The sequence below is a fragment of the Homo sapiens genome, chromosome 12 (assembly GCF_000001405.40).
Source record: "Homo sapiens chromosome 12, GRCh38.p14 Primary Assembly".
Classification (NCBI taxonomy): domain Eukaryota; kingdom Metazoa; phylum Chordata; class Mammalia; order Primates; family Hominidae; genus Homo; species Homo sapiens.
In genome coordinates this window covers 71,626,006-71,644,332 of record NC_000012.12, presented here as the reverse complement: position 1 = coordinate 71,644,332, position 18,327 = coordinate 71,626,006, and the positions used below count along the sequence as shown (strand labels likewise).

The window sequence follows — 18,327 nt, the reverse complement described above, 5'->3', positions numbered from 1 at the left end:
TTTTTTATTTAAAGCTAAACAAGCATTGAGGAAGCAGCAAACAAAGGCATGGAAGAAACTACAACAACAAAAAGAGCAGGAAAGACAGAAAGAAGAGGATCAGCGGAAACAAGCTGAAGAAGAAGAGAGAAGGAAAAGAGAGGAAGAAATCAGAAAAATTCGAGATCTCTCAAATCAGGAAGAACAGTACAATCGATTCATGAAATTGGTTGGTGGCAAGAGGAGATCAAGAAGTAAAGTAAGAAATGCAAAAATATAAAATCAAAACGTTACTCTAAGTTTCCTTAAAGTCATATTTCATAGATTCTGTCAAATAAGGAAGTTTATTTTATAAATAACTCTTGGAAAAAAGGAAGGTAGGTTATAATTGGGAAAGCATCTTTTATAGTTGTAGGTATTGGAAGAAGAAATGAAGGCTAAAATTATTATTAGCAGAGACTGCTTTTAGGTTTTTTACGATTTTCTGTTTAGATGAAAGTAGGATTACTAAATTGTGGTGAAAACTTATTCTGAAAATGGCTGTTAAGTCTTAAGTACAGGGGTAGAATTTCATTAGTTTTTCATTGTTTAGTAATGTAGATTGAGAAGTGTGTCATGACTAGTATGGACTACCTTAATAAATGTTAAATCATGATATAGTAATAACCTTAGTGCATGTGGCTATTTTGTATTTAGTGGTCAAACATTTGTTGAACATTTACTATGTATATAAATATACTTGTCGTCTTGTCTTTTTCTCTCTCCCTCCCTTCTTTTACCCTCTCCACCCAAAAAGAAGAAAAAAGCCCAAAAAGAGTATACTTGAGAATGTATTAATGAAGAGTAGAGGGATATTAAAGAGTAAATTCGTTAATTGGAGTTAGGTTTGCTTAAGCAAGGAATATTGTAAATATTTATACTTTGAAATTTTTTTTTTTTTTGAGATGGAGTCTTACTCTTGTTGCCCAGGCTGGAGTGCAATGGCATGTTTCGGCTCACTGCAACCTCCACCTCCCAGGTTCAAACAATTCTCCTGCCCCAGTCTCCCGAGTAGCTGGGATTACAGGCACCCACCACCATGCCTGGCTAATTTTTTTGTATTTTTAGTAGAGACGGGGTTTCACCATGTTGGCCAGGCTGGTCTTGAACTCCCGACCGCATGAGCCACCGCGCCAGGCCAATAGAATCTTTTTCTAGAGATAAATATGGTATTATTTGCACATTATTCTTTACCTCCTTCTCGAGAGGTTTTGCGAGTTTTTAGTTTATTATAAACTGTCTCTGAGTGAAACATAGTAAGAAGTAGACAAGAAAACAACATACAATAGATAAACACATTTACCCAGAATTTATAGCTTTCAGGTATCATTAATTTATTTATAATTAAAATGTTTTTGAATTTTTGGGGAAATATTCTGTATGTAGTCGTGATGACATAAAACTTGTTTTTGTATTCCTCTAGTTTCTTAATCATACAGAAGTCATAAGTGTACAAGAGTTTGGTGTCATTTTATACAGGAAGAGCTAATTATTTAGTGGCTCAGCTAACAATGGGGGATTTCGTCTGTATAGCTCGTACTTTGGAAATTCCATTTTCTATCTGATTATACAGTTATAAAATGTCAACCAGTGTACCTATCATTTGAATTGAATTTCCCAAAGATGTGATAGGCACATCTAACTGAATCACCATGATTTTTGATACTCTTCCATAGAAGATAACTATCAGTTCTTTTGTGATTTGTAACCCAAGACAGAAAATGCTTTGAAACTAAAAAAGTGTTGTATACTTAGTCTTCAGATCCTGACCTGAGGCGATCCTTAGATAAGCAACCTACTGATAGTGGAGGAGGCATTTATCAGTATGATAACTATGAAGAAGTTGCTATGGATACAGATAGTGAAACCAGTTCTCCAGGTATGAGCCAAAACTTGAAACCTTTGTGTATTTACATGTATTAAATAGAGAATAGTCATTATGGTACTCAAAACCTTTAAAGAAATGTGTAATGAAAGTGAGATTTGCTGATGAACTGTATGGCGATAGACATTATTTGTTGTTGTAAATACTTAGAGAGCAAACCTCAAATAAGTAATATTAACCTTTATTTCCGAGTGTTTCTAGATAGCCTTTAAATTAAAAAACAAATAAATAAGACATTGTTTAAACTCTGTTAACTGTTTGCTCTAGAAAGTGAAGATTGGGCCGGGTGCAGTGGCTCACACCTGTAATCCCAGTACTTTGGGATGCTGAGGTGGGCAGATTGCTTGAGGCCGGGAGTTGGAGACCAGCCTGGCTGACATGGCGAAACCCTGTCTCTACTAAAAATACAAAAATTCGCTGGGTGTGGTGGCATGTGCCTTTAATCCCAGCTTCTTGGGAGGCTAAGGCATGAGAATTTCTTGAACCTGGAAGGTGGAGGTTGCAGTGAGCTGACGTCGTACCACTGCACTCCCGCCTGAGTGACAGAGCAAGATTCTGTCTCAAAAAATAAAAAGTGAAGAATGGGAAAGATGAGAACATTACTCTTTAAAAAAACAAACTCTTGATCTTTATATCCAAGATACTTTCTGCTTTAGTCAAAGAACAAAATTCCTTTTTTGCTATTTGGCTTCCTGTCTCTTTCTAGTACGATAATTTGTAGAAATTTTGAGACAGAAAGTGATAGTACTAGTGGCATCTCAGGAAAGGCTGGTTAGAACTGGTCAGGGCTGTAACTCTCCTTTAGGTTGCATAGTCTAGAATCTGACTTATCTTTGAGGGCCAGAGACTTGATTTTGTTGATGTTCAGGGGTGATTGGCTGTGAGAGACCTATTCCTTCACAAATAATTTAAAACACTTAAGACTGAGGCAGATAACAGAACGCAGTTGGCATTCCAGGAACTGGAGAATTTGGAAGAACACATGATCAGTGTATTTCTCCCTATAGTCACATAGTGAGACCAAATCAAAACTGGAATCCTACTTTGGTGTATCTAGACTAGAGACAAAACAAAATATGTATTATTTGGCTAGTGTTTACCAAAATGCTCATTTTTCAGGTTGTTACTTTAAGCTGGTGTTTGATAGTCTTATATTATGTTTTGATAACACAATTTAACTTGCTTTGGTCAATCTTTAATTTTCTTATTTTCAGATTCTTGGAGATGATTCATTATAATTCCCAAGTATTGACAATATTATTAATACTTTATTTCTATAAAATAACTTTATGATCTATGCTTTTTAAATGATTTTGTGAAACATATAGAGAACATACTCTCTAAGCGGCTTTGTCAAATTTTAATTTTTTGCCACGTTAACTGCGGATATTTATATATATGTATTTTTTTCCATTCAAGATCAATTTTTTTCTCAAATTTTGCCAACACAGACATATTATATTTGAAGAAATGTGCATTAAAAACATCTTTTAATTCACTTTATCTTGTATTAAAAAAGAATGTTTTCCATATAGAGTTTTTCGCCGGGCGGGGGAAAAAAAAAACCAAGAGAATTCAAATACGGTAAAAAACTAGTTTAGGATCTGAGGTTTCAGGCAGTTCAGAAATTGCCAGAAGGTTATTTATTTTTTTTCACTAGGATACCACAGTGGCAGAACAACTTAAAAATCAGAATACTAAAATGATGGGGTGGTCCCGGCAGCTGCCCCTGGCCAGCTGGAGCACACAGTGCCACCAAGGTAGAGAGGCCAGAGGCAGTGGGCATCCCAGTGCCAGCCTGCCCGTTCCCTGTAATGAAAGCAGAGCAGGAACTGCAGTTGCATGGCCTTGGGGGTGGGTGGACTTGTGGAAAGCCAAGCTCTGAGGCTGCAAATACCTTGAGCACCACTGGTGGTCCCAGAGCAGGTTGAGCCTGTATCTGCACCTCTGTTCCAACCAGCCTTCTGGCACAGGGCAAGGCCCACATCTTGGCCTCTGCATCTTGATCTGGGCTGGGGCCAGTCCACCTGGTCTTTCTGGCCAGTGCTCACACTGTAAGCCAGTCACAAGTTCTGTCAGCTTCTTTCCTGTGTTAAAAAACAAGAATGGCTGGGCACGGTGACTCACACCTGTAATCCCAGAACTTTTGGGAGGCCGAGGCGGGAGGATCACCTGAGGTCAGCAGTTCAAAACCAGCCTGGCCAACATGGTGAAACCTCGCCTCTACTAAAAATACAAAAATTAGCCAGTAGTGGTGGCTCACCCCTGCAGTCCCAGCTACTCAGGAGCCTGAGGCAGGAGAATCGCTTGAACCTGGGAGGTGGAGGTTGTAGTGAGCTGAGATGGTGCCACTGCACTCTAGCCTGGGCACTGAGCGACACTCTGTCTCAAAAATAAATACATAAATAACAAGAAAGCTTGACACAGAATCAAGAGCACAATAAAACTGCACTCTAGCCTGGGCACTGAGTGAGACTCTGTCTCAAAAATAAATAACAAGAAAGCTTGACACAGAATCAAGAGCATAGTAAAAGTGGCTGCTGTTAATACTATTAACTGAATCAAACACCAGCAAACACTTGCCTAGTTCTTTGTCCTCCTGGATGATCCTGACATGGTGGGTAGCATGAACCAGCACATAATGGACTTCATCTTTCCTACCACTAGTTTCTAAAATTCATGAATGAAGGCTACTCTTGCTGAGGGCACCCTCTACCTTCCCACTGTCCTTTCAGACCCCCTAGTGGCTGACCCAACACAAAGGTCAGAAAGTCCTCAGAAGCCTCTCCTGGCACCTGGCAGTGAGTCAGGGCTGGTTAAATCTGGATGAGGATAGTGCAGCCTGGAGGGCTTTCCTCGGAGATCACTGCACTCACTAGGTCCACCCTCTCTCCCAGATACTAGGAAGGGAAAACATGCCAAGTCCATAAAACAATAGCACCATCAAGTGTCTGACTATTAAACATTCAAATGTTCATGGGGCAGAACACTGAGCATAGACATAGCCTCTCTTCTCTCTGCCACCTAATAACACAAATGTGACACAGCAGCCACATCTGCAGCGCTATGTAAAATGTTCCAAAGATTAGTGTATATTCAGATTATCTCATTTGGGACTCAAGTCAACCCCATATAAGGCATGTGGATAATAATGTATTGACTTGTGAGACAACTGGGATAAAGAAGAAATGTTAGATTTTCTCTGATTATATAGTTAGTGGGTAGGGTAGTAAGAGTAGTCTTTGAAACTGCTGTATTTCAGTGAGCCTAACAAGTCATTGAAGATAAAATACACAATTATTTTTATCTGCTACCAAGGAAGAAAAATGCTGAGATGCATCAATTGTAATTATTTCAAAATTAAAATGTGAAAAAATGTGCACCTTATTGACTAAATACACTAAGTAATTCTTCTCATTCCTAGTTTTATTTACTTTCAACACAGCTTATATGGTCCATGTCCTCAACTTTCTTTTGCTCCACAAGAAGGGAATAATGAAGTCACCACATCATTGTTTTCCTTTGGCTAGGGCACTTTGGCAGAATTTAAGGGAATTTTTTGTTTCATTATTTCTTAAAAAATATGCTTGTGTTTTTTTTTGTTTGTTTTTTTAAAGTATGTTTCTGTCTTTTCCTGCTTTATTCCCTGTTCTCATCATTAGGTTAAAAGTGGAACAAAGTGAGAGTTTTGAGGGACTAATTATTAGTTTAAAGTGAATGGCTGACTTTATGATGATATGACAATTTTAAATGGCTGGAGGTGGACTCATGAGGGGTTTAAAGATTTTATCAGAGGTTGATAAAATCTAATTTGCACTCCACCTAGATGTATTTCTTCAAACATAACATAAACTTAATATATTCCTGATGAAGTATTTCTGTTATTAAACTCTTAACAAAAAATTTTTTTACAGCTCCTTCACCAGTGCAACCGCCATTTTTCTCTGAATGTTCATTGGGGTATTTTTCTCCAGCACCATCTCTTTCTTTGCCTCCACCACCTCAGGTTTCTGTAAGTCAGAATTGATTTCTAAGAAAATTATTTTGTCTTGTCTTTTCTAATTTGTTTTTAAAAACGAATGGTTAGGTTTGAAGAGGGCTTAAAAAATCAGAATTGCTTACCAAGAATTAATAGCAATGAAATACGTAGAATAAACAGTTGATTATACCAGCAAGCTATCCATTTGGTAGATTTTTTTCATAGCTAATTTTTAATTTCATGTTGACTTTTCGGTACCTATCATGTTTCCTTCTTCACTTTACTCTCAGATAGTAGCTACTCAGAAAATTTATTCAAAAACAGAAGTTATCTACTGTTTTGGACTGTCTCTTTTTTAGGGAATTGGAATTTACATGCATTAGGATGCTTCTAAAAATTAATACTCTCCTTTCTCCTCTTTTCATAAAAATGGTTATTTTTAACTTGAAAATCCAGCAAAAGAAAAGCATTTTCTATGAAGTTAATTTCTTTTCCCCCCCATCTCCAGTCCTCCCACTAAAAATAAAACAAAAAAATAAAAACAATAAAAGGAAAAGGAAAAAAAGGAAGTAGAGGAATCACACATTAAAAGTTTTGACATTATTTTTAGATTGAGAGGACCTAGAGATCAAATTGAGTATCTCTCAGTAGGTGTAAGAGGGAACTTTTCCGTTTCAGGAAAGACGTCTAGTGTCTTTCTAGAACATATATGGTGAGGGGAATATTAGAGCCGATAGTGAGAGAGAAAACAGCACTTTCTTCGTTGTAATGTTTTCTTTTTGGGAATGAATAAATGAACTAAATGCCAAGGGAAATAGTGGAAGATCTTTGATGCAAATACATATCCAAATTTAGGGATTTGTGTAAAATTAGTTTCCTTTATAGATATTCTTTAAGAAGCCATTTTAAGAGAGTAGTGGTGATTCTTCTTGATACTTAATTAATGATTAAAGTACTCTGGACTATTATTCACAGAATCCCTTGGTTTCTAATTTTTATTTTTTACTGAAATATTATGTCTTGGGTTTCAGTACCTCTACTTGCTTTCAGGTAGTCATCTAGAAGGAAGGACCCTGTATAGTTTGATATCTATATCTTCTAGAATGCTAAATGGATATAAGAATTGGAACAGAGAAGTTTCTATAATTTTCCTTGAAGTTAATAAATGTTTCAAATATTGTTGATTTTTTTTAAAATTGTAAAAATAACACTTTTTCGTGGTTGGCTATTGATTTCTGGTTTGTTTTGAGGTTAACATATACTTAGCTTACTATATTTACAGCTAAAATAATAATGTAAAGTTTATTTTTTTCTAGTTTAATATTGCTGCAGAGAGAAGCATTTGAGTTGATAAAATTTGCGTTGTAATTCTTTCTTTTTTTAAAAAATAGTCTCTGCCACCTTTGAGCCAGCCTTATGTGGAAGGCTTGTGTGTTTCTCTTGAACCTCTACCTCCTCTACCACCATTACCACCTCTCCCACCTGAAGATCCAGAACAGCCTCCAAAACCACCTTTTGCAGATGAGGAAGAGGAGGAAGAAATGCTGCTTCGAGAAGAACTACTTAAATCTCTAGCAAATAAAAGAGCTTTTAAGCCAGAGGTAATTTAGGTACCTAAACCTCTAGGTGGTGCTCTTGAGCTTAGCTTTACGGTAGTCCTACTTTTTTCTGGTTACTTGGGCATCATTGGGCTTTTCAGCAAAGTGGGGATAATTCTAACATGCTCAAGATTTTTAAAGGTGGCAGAAATTTATTTTTATTTAGGAATGTTTAATGTCTTTCTCTTCCTTATGTAGGAAACATCCAGTAATAGTGACCCACCTTCACCTCCAGTTCTGAACAATTCACATCCTGTGCCAAGAAGCAATCTATCAATAGTCAGTATTAACACAGTGTCTCAGCCTAGGATACAGAATCCAAAGTTTCACAGAGGACCCCGTCTTCCACGAACTGTGATCTCGGTAAAAACAAAAATTTAATGCTACTTTTATTCAAACAGTTATGATAAATTTCTATGAAGTTTAGCTGTCCTGTTTTCTACCCCTTGGTTTATTTATATACACACATATATTCACATATAAATACAAATTTTTAAAATTTATTTTTAATTTATTAATGATAAAATGAGAGCAACACCTTCACTTGAAAACTGGTAAGAGTTTGGTGATAGTGTGTTGGGGGAGGTATTGTTTTCATCAGAGTGGTGTACTTTCCTCTGACATTTCTTCAGCTTTTTTTCTATAGAAATGGGCTCATTCAGATTTTCTATCTTTTTGGAGTCAAAATTTTAACAAATTGCATGTTTTTTATTTCTCCCATCTCTTTGTATACTTTGTGTATGTTTTCCAACCAATGACTACACTATGATGGAAGAAATTATTTATGATGTTTATTAAGGAGGTTGAAATGATAGTTTGTTTCTACCTTGTTTTGTAATGGCTTCAAAGTAAAATAAATAGAACAAAGACAAGTTGAAATCTTTCCTGTTAGGTAAGCCAGTTTTGGCAATTTACCCTCTATATGTAACCACAAAGTACAGAATTTTGATAATTATTATGTAAAATTAACAAAATTTTTCTTTGGTTTTAAAAGAGTTAATTTAAATTGCATTGTGGTTCTTTATAATAGAAAGTTAGTGAAAATAAAATTTTAATGAGAGTAATTATAGAATAGAAAGTCTTAAAGAATATACAACATTTTATGTCTCAGTCATATAACCAGTATTGGTCGACTCAGTGGATTATGTAATACAACCCTAGAAGGAGCCATAGACTGTCTACTTGGAGCCCATTATTTTTGTGGATTGAAATTGAACAAGGTTAAATGACATCCTTTTGTTATCACGAGTAATAAATATATTGTCTTTGCAGCTTCCAAAGCATAAATCAGTGGTTGTAACACTAAATGATTCAGATGATAGTGAATCTGATGGAGAGGCTTCCAAGTCAACAAATAGTGTTTTTGGTGGATTAGAGTCCATGATTAAAGAAGCAAGACGAACTGCTGAGGTAAGTGCAATAATTAAAGGTGGAAAGAAAGATGACCTTTTGATGATCAGTAAAGTTTATTTTTTCCTGAAAATTAAACCATAAAGTTATAGATTTTTAATAACATTGATTTGTGGAAATATTTTAAGTATTTGTGCTATTAGGACTTTATATAATGAAGCATGTATCAATGTAGATTGATTTTACTATTAAAAGTTTCCATTATTTGTGTTTCCTATTAAGTATTTCCTTTTTCAAAATAGTAAAATTGGTTGGATAATTGTTCTGTGTAGTAAGGAGACTGTTGTTTTAGAGTTGTGTTGTGTTACCAGAAAACAGTTTTTATTAAAATGTATTCTCTAAGTACAACTTTTATCGTTTTTTCCCTATTTCAGTAGTTGTTTAGCTGTGATTTAATTCAATGATTTTCAGACTGTAGATCTTCACTACTTGGTGGCGTATACAATTTAGTAGTTATCAACCAACATTGTTTTAGAAAAAAGAATAGAAAATGATGACATTCAGGTATTTCTAAATAAATTCAGTATACACTGGGTTGCAATGTAAAATATAAATCTTAGTATGGAATTTTGGAAAGCTGATGATCTAGTTGACTTCAAATGTTTTTTTTTTTTTAGCAAGCTTCAAAACCGAAAGTACCTCCAAAATCTGAAAAAGAAAATGATCCTCTGCGAACACCGGAGGCTTTGCCTGAAGAAAAGAAGATTGAATATAGATTGTTAAAGGAAGAGATTGCCAAGTAAGTGTAATTTTATGTAATTAACATTAAAAGTATGTGATGTTTTCAAAACTTCTCTTATAGAGTTTCTTGGCACTGGGGAATGAGTGATGATAGTTTTATCCAAGATACAGAGTTAATGTTTTATAACTCACACAGAAGATGGTGCTGGATGGTCATACATACACTTGAATAGAGTGATGTGCTAGGACATAACCAGCTTAGAAAAAAGATGAAAACACTCAAAGAGAAGGACTCCACTATCAACTTTGAATGCTGACTTGGGTCTTGCATATTGGTCATCATCTTTATTATTAGTCGGTGTGATTAATATTGTTACTGCATGAAATAGAATACATTTTAAAAATAGTTTAAGTTTATTCTTGGGTGTAATGCATATATCCTTTTTGATAATTTTAGCCGTGAGAAACAGCGTTTGATTAAATCAGATCAGCTGAAGACAAGTTCATCATCCCCAGCAAACTCTGATGTGGAAATTGATGGTATTGGCAGGATAGCAATGGTTACTAAGCAGGTTACAGATGCAGAATCAAAACTGAAAAAACATAGGTGAGCCTTGTTATCTTCACATATCTAATTGTTCCTGTGGTAGAGAAATACATTTTTGTGGTGTATGTTATTAATAAGCGTACTATAAGATTATACATTTTCTCACTTAAACTTTGTAGAATGTAGAAGTCTGTCATTTTGTTGAATGACACTACATTTACATAAAGTAATGAAATTAATGTTTAAATAAAAATACCGGCCAGGCGCGGTGGCTCACGCCTATAATCATAGCAATTTGAGAGGCCGAGGTGGGTGGATCACTTGAGATCAGGAGTTTGAGACTAGCCTGGCCAACACGGTGAAACCCTGTCTCTACTAAAAATACAAAAAAATTAGCTGGGCATGGTGGTGCATGCCTTGTAATCCCAGCTACTTGGGAGGCTGAGGCGGGAGAATCGCTTGAACTAGGGAAATGCATTCCCACTGTGCCTGGCCCAACGTTGAATATTTACTACAAGTTTTCAACAGTAATTCACGTTACCTCAGGCTTAAATTTTTTTTTTTAAAAGATCAGTCTCATAGTTACTATTATCAGTGTAGCAATGTTAATTTAAATACCTGTGTGATGAATATAAAAATATTCATCCCTTTACATTTTTATCTGTGTCTCGTAGATGCATTTTTAAAAATTGTGTTATTACTTTGAAAATTTTTTTATTCTGACAGTCTGCTCTTGTAGGGAAACATTAACAAGAATTTTGTTATTTCTCATTTAGGATTCTCTTGATGAAAGATGAATCTGTTTTAAAGAATTTAGTGCAACAAGAAGCTAAGAAGAAAGAATCTGTTAGAAATGCTGAAGCAAAGATTACAAAACTTACAGAACAGCTTCAAGCAACTGAAAAAATTCTTAATGTTAACAGAATGTTTTTGAAGAAGCTTCAGGAACAAGTAATTATTTTAAAATACTGTAGTCTCCTGTTTACTACACATTTTTATAGGCCAAATTTTCTGTAAGACAAACCACTGTATACTAAAGCCAGCAAAATATGCATAACCTATAGTTTCTTGTTGAGAAATAATATTGGAATATTTTTATTTTCAGTTGAATGCTCAAAAGCCACGGTGTTTGAGAAGAAGAAATTTCCTGTTTTAAGGTTTTCATTTACATTTTCAGGATTATTCTATATTTTTCAGATTCACAGAGTTCAACAGCGTGTTACAATTAAGAAAGCTTTGACTCTAAAATATGGAGAAGAGCTTGCTCGGGCAAAGGCAGTGGCCAGTAAAGAAATAGGAAAACGTAAACTGGAACAAGATCGCTTTGGGGTGAGGGTTTTATAGAAATATTTTACTTTTGGAAAGCAGAAAGTTTTTATGATAGTTTTAAGGGTAAGATGTATATATAAAGTAACTCTTTGCTGTAAATTCCAAGAGATTAAGATTAAAGCTTTGTTTTTAAATGACATCCACATTTTTGGATGTCTACTTTATTATTTTGTCTTGACTTTGTTTTTGTCATAAGTCATAGATTAACTAGCAAAACTTTTGGCTACTTATGTTAAACTCTGTTTTATTCTCCATATTGATTTAGTTTTATAATGTTGGCATTGTATGGTGGGGATAGCACAATTATCTTACCAAAAATTGTTTATAAAATCACAGTGATGTAAAATACGTGTATCATTTTTCTCCCTTAGCCAAACAAAATGATGAGACTGGACAGTTCTCCAGTATCAAGTCCAAGAAAGCATTCAGCAGAACTAATTGCTATGGAGAAAAGACGGTTACAAAAGCTAGAATATGAATATGCCCTGAAAATTCAAAAATTAAAAGAAGCCCGTGCCCTTAAAGCAAAGGAACAACAAAATATCTCTCCAGTTGTGGAAGAGGAACCCGAATTTTCTTTACCTCAACCCTCACTTCATGATCTGACACAAGATAAATTAACCCTGGACACTGAAGAAAATGATGTTGATGATGAAATTTTGTCTGGTTCAAGCAGAGAGCGAAGAAGATCTTTTTTAGAATCCAATTATTTTACTAAACCTAACCTTAAGCACACTGATACTGCTAACAAAGAATGCATAAACAAACTTAATAAAAATACTGTAGAAAAACCAGAACTTTTTCTAGGGTTAAAAATTGGTGAATTGCAAAAATTGTATTCAAAAGCTGACAGCCTAAAACAGCTGATTTTAAAAACCACCACAGGCATTACAGAGAAGGTTTTGCATGGTCAGGTAACTGAACATTTCATATTTTCTTTAAAATCTGGAATTCACCCAGCCTTATTTGCCTTACAGAATTATTATTTTCTTTTGCAGGAGATTTCTGTAGATGTGGATTTTGTCACAGCACAAAGTAAAACAATGGAAGTGAAGCCATGTCCTTTTAGACCCTACCATAGTCCTCTTCTAGTTTTTAAGTCCTACAGGTATAAAAGAAAGATTCAATAAGCTTGAATTTCAGGATTTCTGTTTGGTTTTTAATATTTTATCTTGAATATTTGATGATAATGAAAAAGCAATTGAATCATTGCTATTGATAACCAGACTTACCCTTTTAAGGAACATAAAAATTAAGTGTCCTGCCGTTGGGCTCAAACCACACTCTTGGATTTATCAGTTCGTATCAAATTCCAGTTTCTGGCTATTGGTAGAAGTGTGGAGAATTTTGGATTTCTGTTTGTTAGGAATTTTAGGAAAAATAATTGGAATCTTAGAGGTTTTTTTTAATTTTTGATTTTTAATTTTACTGTTATTCAGTCTAAGAAGTGCATTGGCCAGCCTTCATAAAATTTATTTAGACATTTTCATATGATTAACTTTGTGGGTCCCCCATTTAGACTTTTAAAAGTTGTGAGAATGTTAAAGGGTTGCATGTTTTTATCTTAAAATTGTAAAGCACCTTCCAGGTAATATAGACTTTTTCCAGATTTTCTTGTCTTGGCTGGTAATGTGTGTAAGAAATACCGGTATTATATAGTATTTTATTATGTGGTGAGAAACTACTTTTAGAATACAAGGTTTTTTTTCTGTTTAAACTATTTTATGTTCTTGGTATAAAAGCAACTTGTTTCTATCCCTTGATATTCTAGGTCTTTTCTCGAATTAATTTTGGCATTAATTTAATTAGATAAATAGCTCATAAATAGTAAGCATGGAAATTTTAACTTGAGAAAGAAAAACTAAAGTTTTCTTAGTTTTCTGAGGAATGTTTGTTGGGCATAATATACCTGTTCACTCTCTTCACCTTAGATTTAGTCCATATTATCGAACCAAGGAAAAACTTCCCCTGAGCTCAGTATCATACAGTAATATGATTGAACCGGATCAGTGTTTCTGCCGTTTTGATTTAACAGGAACATGTAATGATGATGATTGTCAATGGTGAGTAGTTTTTGTGAACATTTTGTAATTTGAAAAATGGTCTTGTTTGCTTAACTTTGATATGTACATGATTATCTTTTCTGTGTTTTTTTTTATCTTAGGCAGCATATACAAGACTATACACTTAGCCGAAAACAGTTATTCCAGGACATTCTGTCATATAATCTGTCTTTGATTGGTTGTGCAGAGACAAGTACTAATGAAGAAATTACTGCTTCAGCAGGTTTTTAAAGACTTCCTATTCTCTCCCAAATGAAAATTGAATTTAGGCAACTTAAAAATTCTATATTAGTTGTTGACATTGTAAAATACTTACTATAATTCAGTGTATTTACCCATAATACTTTATCTAGATTTGCTGTATCCAGTATAATTACGGTAAAAATTTACTTCCTCTGTTACACTAGCCACATTTCAAGTACCCAATGGCCACATGTGGCAAGTGCATGCCAGTAGGACAGCACAGATTTAAGACATTTCCAACATTTCAGAAAGTTCTTTGGACAGAGCTCATTTAAATATTTAGTTCCATTTATTTAAAAGAAAATATTAAGCTATTTGTATAGAAACTTTACTATTGATTTTAACATAGGAGCCTATTTTTACTTATTGTTTTCAAAAAATAGAGGAAGGCTGGAAATTACGATGGCTGTTGTTTCCAATTCTATAATGAAATAAGACTTGATACACTTGTGAGCAAATATTATTAAGCTTTTTCTCAGATTTGGTGCCAAGTAATAAACCTCAAGCTACAAATCTTTTGGAAGTAAAGAAAATAATAATTACTAAATTTGGTGTTATCACAGCCCAGAGTGATTGTAATGTCACTGAATCTATTTTATCGCTCCCAATTTGGGACTTTAACTTAATTACTTAGTTCATTTTAGGAACTACTTTTTTTTTTTTTTAATCCCAAATGGGGTATATGATGTGGTAGGATTTGCCATAGTAGTTAAGATAATACAGGCTTTGCCCTTTCAAATGCCATAGGTGTTATTGACTAGTACCATATAATCGCCTTTAATTCTTAAACTAGTTCACGTCATACATTTTAATTATCCTAGTCTCTGTAATTGATATTTATCATGAAGATTGCATTGCTCTTATTTCAGAAAAATATGTTGAGAAACTTTTTGGAGTAAACAAAGATCGAATGTCAATGGACCAGATGGCTGTTCTCCTTGTTAGCAATATCAATGAAAGTAAAGGTCATAGTAAGTACATATATAAGTGTGTGTGTGTGTGTGTGTGTGTGTGTGTGTGTGTACTGTATCTCTTTCTGAAAAGGACTTTTTAGTTTCTGTATGACAGAAATTTTGTTGGTATTATGTTCTTAATGTAATACATATCATTCCAGGCTGGGTGCGCTGGCTCACGCCTGTAATCCCAGCACTTTGGGAGGCTGAGGTGGGCTGATCACTTGAGGTTAGGAGTTCGAGACCAGCCTGGCCAACATGGTGAAACCCCGTCTCTACTAAAAATAGAAAAATTAGCCGGGTGGTGGTGGCGTGTGCCTGCAGCCTCAGCTACTTGGGAGGCTGAGGCAGGAAAATCACTTGAACCCGAGAGGCGGAGGTTGCAGTGAGCTGAGATCGCGCCACTGCACTCACTGCACTCCAGCCTGGGTGACAGAGTGAGACTTCCATCTCAAAAAAAAAAAAAAAATACGTATCATTTCTAAGATGGAGTGAATGTAGTTCTTCTCAAATATTATTTGAGTATCCTTCAAAATGTTAAAAAAAAAACTAGTTATATCAATTAACAATCTTCTCCTATCTACTTTAGCTCCTCCATTTACAACCTACAAAGATAAAAGAAAGTGGAAGCCAAAGTTTTGGAGAAAACCTATTTCAGATAATAGCTTCAGTAGTGATGAGGAACAGTCTACAGGACCAATTAAGTATGGTAAGAAGTTATGTAATTTAAGATCCAGAATTATTAAATTGTGGTGTTCCATCTTTATTTAACACTTTGCTAATCCTTTGGTGTATCAGCCTGCCTGGTTAAAAAAAAATTTTTTTTAAAAACGATGCCATTGGGTTTTTAGACAATACAGTTAATTCACTGTGCAGGATTGCCTCTGAAATTGCGGGATATTTGTGTTCATGGCTCCTCTCCAGTAAATGCAAGGAGCACTGCTTAGTTAATAATTATGACTGCTTCAGATATTTCCAAACATACATTAGTTGGTGGGGAAGGTAGCTCCCGTTTGAGAACCACTGCCTAGCCTGTGTCCTCCTTAAGGGCAGGTGTTCTATTTTACTTCATCTTTGAATATGTTTTCTGACATGCAGAAGGCTCAAAAGATGAGAATGAACAAATGATGAATGAACTAATGAACAAAATAATGTATGAATGAGTGCCTGTATGTTAGGCACATTTTACTTTCTAATTTCAAGTTTGCATTATTTGTGAATTAGCAAGTATCCAAGAGATGTATGCTATTATGTACTTATTTACACTAACGTAACACTGTTTTTCTAGTTTAGATATAGTAGAATAATCTTTATAAATTATGACTTTTAATTTCTTAATTATAATTTGCAGTTTAACAAATGTGAATTCATTTGATAATAATGAAAAAGCAGTTGAATCATAGTTACTGTTAAGTGGACTGAAAAGGTAATGTCACTTAGCCTTAAAATAGCAGAGTTCTAATTACTCCTTTTGTTCTGGTGTAATTTTTAGTAGCACCTCTTTCCACTCAGAAGGGTCCTGGTTTGGGTGATAAATTATGTCATAGCTCTACCTTAAAGCTGTGAGCTAGTACATGTCATTAGAATCTTTAGGTTTTTAAGTTACTTTAAAGATGAGACCAATTGTTTTCTTTTTCTTGCATCTGTGGACTAAAGAAAATGTGAAGCTAATAATACTTTTTTTTTAAATAGCTTTCCAGCCAGAGAACCAAATAAATGTTCCAGCTCTGGATACAGTTGTCACTCCAGATGATGTCAGATACTTTACAAATGAGACTGATGACATCGCTAATTTAGAAGCAAGTGTGCTTGAAAATCCTTCTCATGTACAACTTTGGCTCAAGCTTGCGTACAAGTACTTGAATCAAAATGAGGGGTAGGTCAACTTCAAATCTTTGTGTAAACAGTTGCACATTTATATTTTTATGTTTGAGGTTTTTTTACCTATGGTAATCAGTCAGGTTTCTTTCCTAGTATCAATGGAGTCTTTGTTTTTTGACAAAGCCAAAAGCATTTTATTGTTTAAAAGCTATTAGACAAGTTTAAGATTAGATCTTGAGTTTGTGTGCATGGCTCAGTGTATGGGTAATAAATTATACTAAAGTTTTTTACTCCAGTAGGCTCTTATTTCAAAGTAGGATTAGTTAAAACAGTAAATTCTGACTAGTGGAATGGTTGATTGTTTTTTAAAAAAATCATAGTAGTCATAGTTTGTTAATAAAATTATGATAAAATAATGGTGGAACAGGTTAAATTTTGTTAATTTGTAATGGATATTTAAAGCTTATCTGAGAACTTCCAAATTATGGTGAATTTTCTTTCTGTCTCTGTCATATTAAATTATATGTATTTAAATAAGGTAAATGGTAATAACTTATACAACCAATAGTTTGTATTGCAAATGGCATCTTCTAACTTCTTGGTAGTAGAAATAAGCCAAGAATAATCTTTTCATAATTATAACTTTATAGTTACAATAATTCAAGGGTTTTTTTTTTTTACACGTTTCTTTGAAATATTTGACTATCTTAAAGCTTTTAAATAAGGCAGTGCTGCAGAGTGCTAATAAACCCACACATGCCTGGATGTGTTGCTTATTTAACTTTCCTGTGTGTCATTTCCATGTTAATGGGATAAGTTACAGTGTTTTCTTTTCTGACTCATTTACTGAGTGAAGGCCAAAAGAACCATACATTATTTTATGAATAGGATCATGAGAAAGAATTATCTTCTCCAAGAGATAGCAAGCCCTTGACCGTTGAAAAGAACTATTATACTGAAAGCTTTGATATTTTGTACTTGCAGTAGCTGGCCTTGAGAGAGAGTTGTTTAACTTTTCGCATTCCCAAATGGTGTAAATCATAAAAGGTATTGCTGAATATGGACATAAAGCACATTTGAAGTTGATAATCTTAGTGGTTTTATAACACTGTACTTTTATCTGTGGTAAATGCTTACTGAACATTCACTTAAAAAAATTGTTGGGTCTGTGGAAAATCAGAAACTTTTAGGCATGTGATTTAAAATCTGAAATCTAGTACCCCTTTTCATAAGTGATCCTGACTTCTTGGTAAATTCTAGTAGAAAATGGAATTTTAAAATTGACTCATTGGATTAGCCCTATTTAAATTTTCAAGCAGGTTCTAAAAAGCACTTCCACCTTTTCTTTTATATATACAGGGAGTGCTCAGAATCCTTGGATTCTGCTTTAAATGTTCTGGCGCGAGCATTGGAAAATAACAAAGACAATCCAGAAATTTGGTGCCATTACCTCAGATTGTTCTCAAAAAGAGGAACCAAGGACGAGGTGCAGGAAATGTGTGAAACAGCTGTTGAATATGCTCCAGATTATCAAAGCTTTTGGACTGTGAGTAGAAAAGATAACGTACGTGTGTGTGTGTGTGTGTGTGTGTGTGTATAATTATTTGGATCATCTTAAAAATTGATAAGTAGCTTAATAGAGCATATGCTTTATCTGAATATAGACATAATAACCTTACTTTCAGTTTCTAGTAACCACAAAGCCACTTCTGGATCAGAATTTAGACTAAGCAAGAAGAAAATATTTAGTGAAGAGGTGATTTTTTTGTTGTTGTTAACTTTATTGGTAAAGAAAAAATG

General features: G+C 34.4%; 1 protein-coding gene and 1 non-coding gene across 3 annotated transcripts in view; one reads left to right on the top strand and one right to left on the bottom strand.

Annotated features, from left to right (window-relative positions):
* ZFC3H1 (zinc finger C3H1-type containing) overlaps window positions 1–18,327 on the top strand; it is a 54,250-nt gene that overhangs the window by 19,516 nt on the left and 16,407 nt on the right. For both annotated transcript variants that reach the window (NM_144982.5, XM_047428485.1), the window contains exons 5-22: window positions 15–238; window positions 1,774–1,897; window positions 5,818–5,915; window positions 7,274–7,483; window positions 7,679–7,843; window positions 8,753–8,890; window positions 9,508–9,629; window positions 10,029–10,178; window positions 10,895–11,069; window positions 11,316–11,447; window positions 11,819–12,361; window positions 12,446–12,555; window positions 13,379–13,510; window positions 13,612–13,733; window positions 14,623–14,724; window positions 15,296–15,415; window positions 16,399–16,582; window positions 17,887–18,073. In NM_144982.5, coding sequence (NP_659419.3) covers window positions 15–238; window positions 1,774–1,897; window positions 5,818–5,915; window positions 7,274–7,483; window positions 7,679–7,843; window positions 8,753–8,890; window positions 9,508–9,629; window positions 10,029–10,178; window positions 10,895–11,069; window positions 11,316–11,447; window positions 11,819–12,361; window positions 12,446–12,555; window positions 13,379–13,510; window positions 13,612–13,733; window positions 14,623–14,724; window positions 15,296–15,415; window positions 16,399–16,582; window positions 17,887–18,073 — 3,038 coding nt within the window. The remainder of the gene's footprint in view (window positions 1–14; window positions 239–1,773; window positions 1,898–5,817; window positions 5,916–7,273; window positions 7,484–7,678; window positions 7,844–8,752; window positions 8,891–9,507; window positions 9,630–10,028; window positions 10,179–10,894; window positions 11,070–11,315; window positions 11,448–11,818; window positions 12,362–12,445; window positions 12,556–13,378; window positions 13,511–13,611; window positions 13,734–14,622; window positions 14,725–15,295; window positions 15,416–16,398; window positions 16,583–17,886; window positions 18,074–18,327) is intronic.
* On the bottom strand, window positions 4,850–4,978 carry LOC124900332 (small nucleolar RNA SNORA17). Its single transcript, XR_007063634.1, has one exon. It is a non-coding gene; the product is annotated as a small nucleolar RNA SNORA17 (small nucleolar RNA).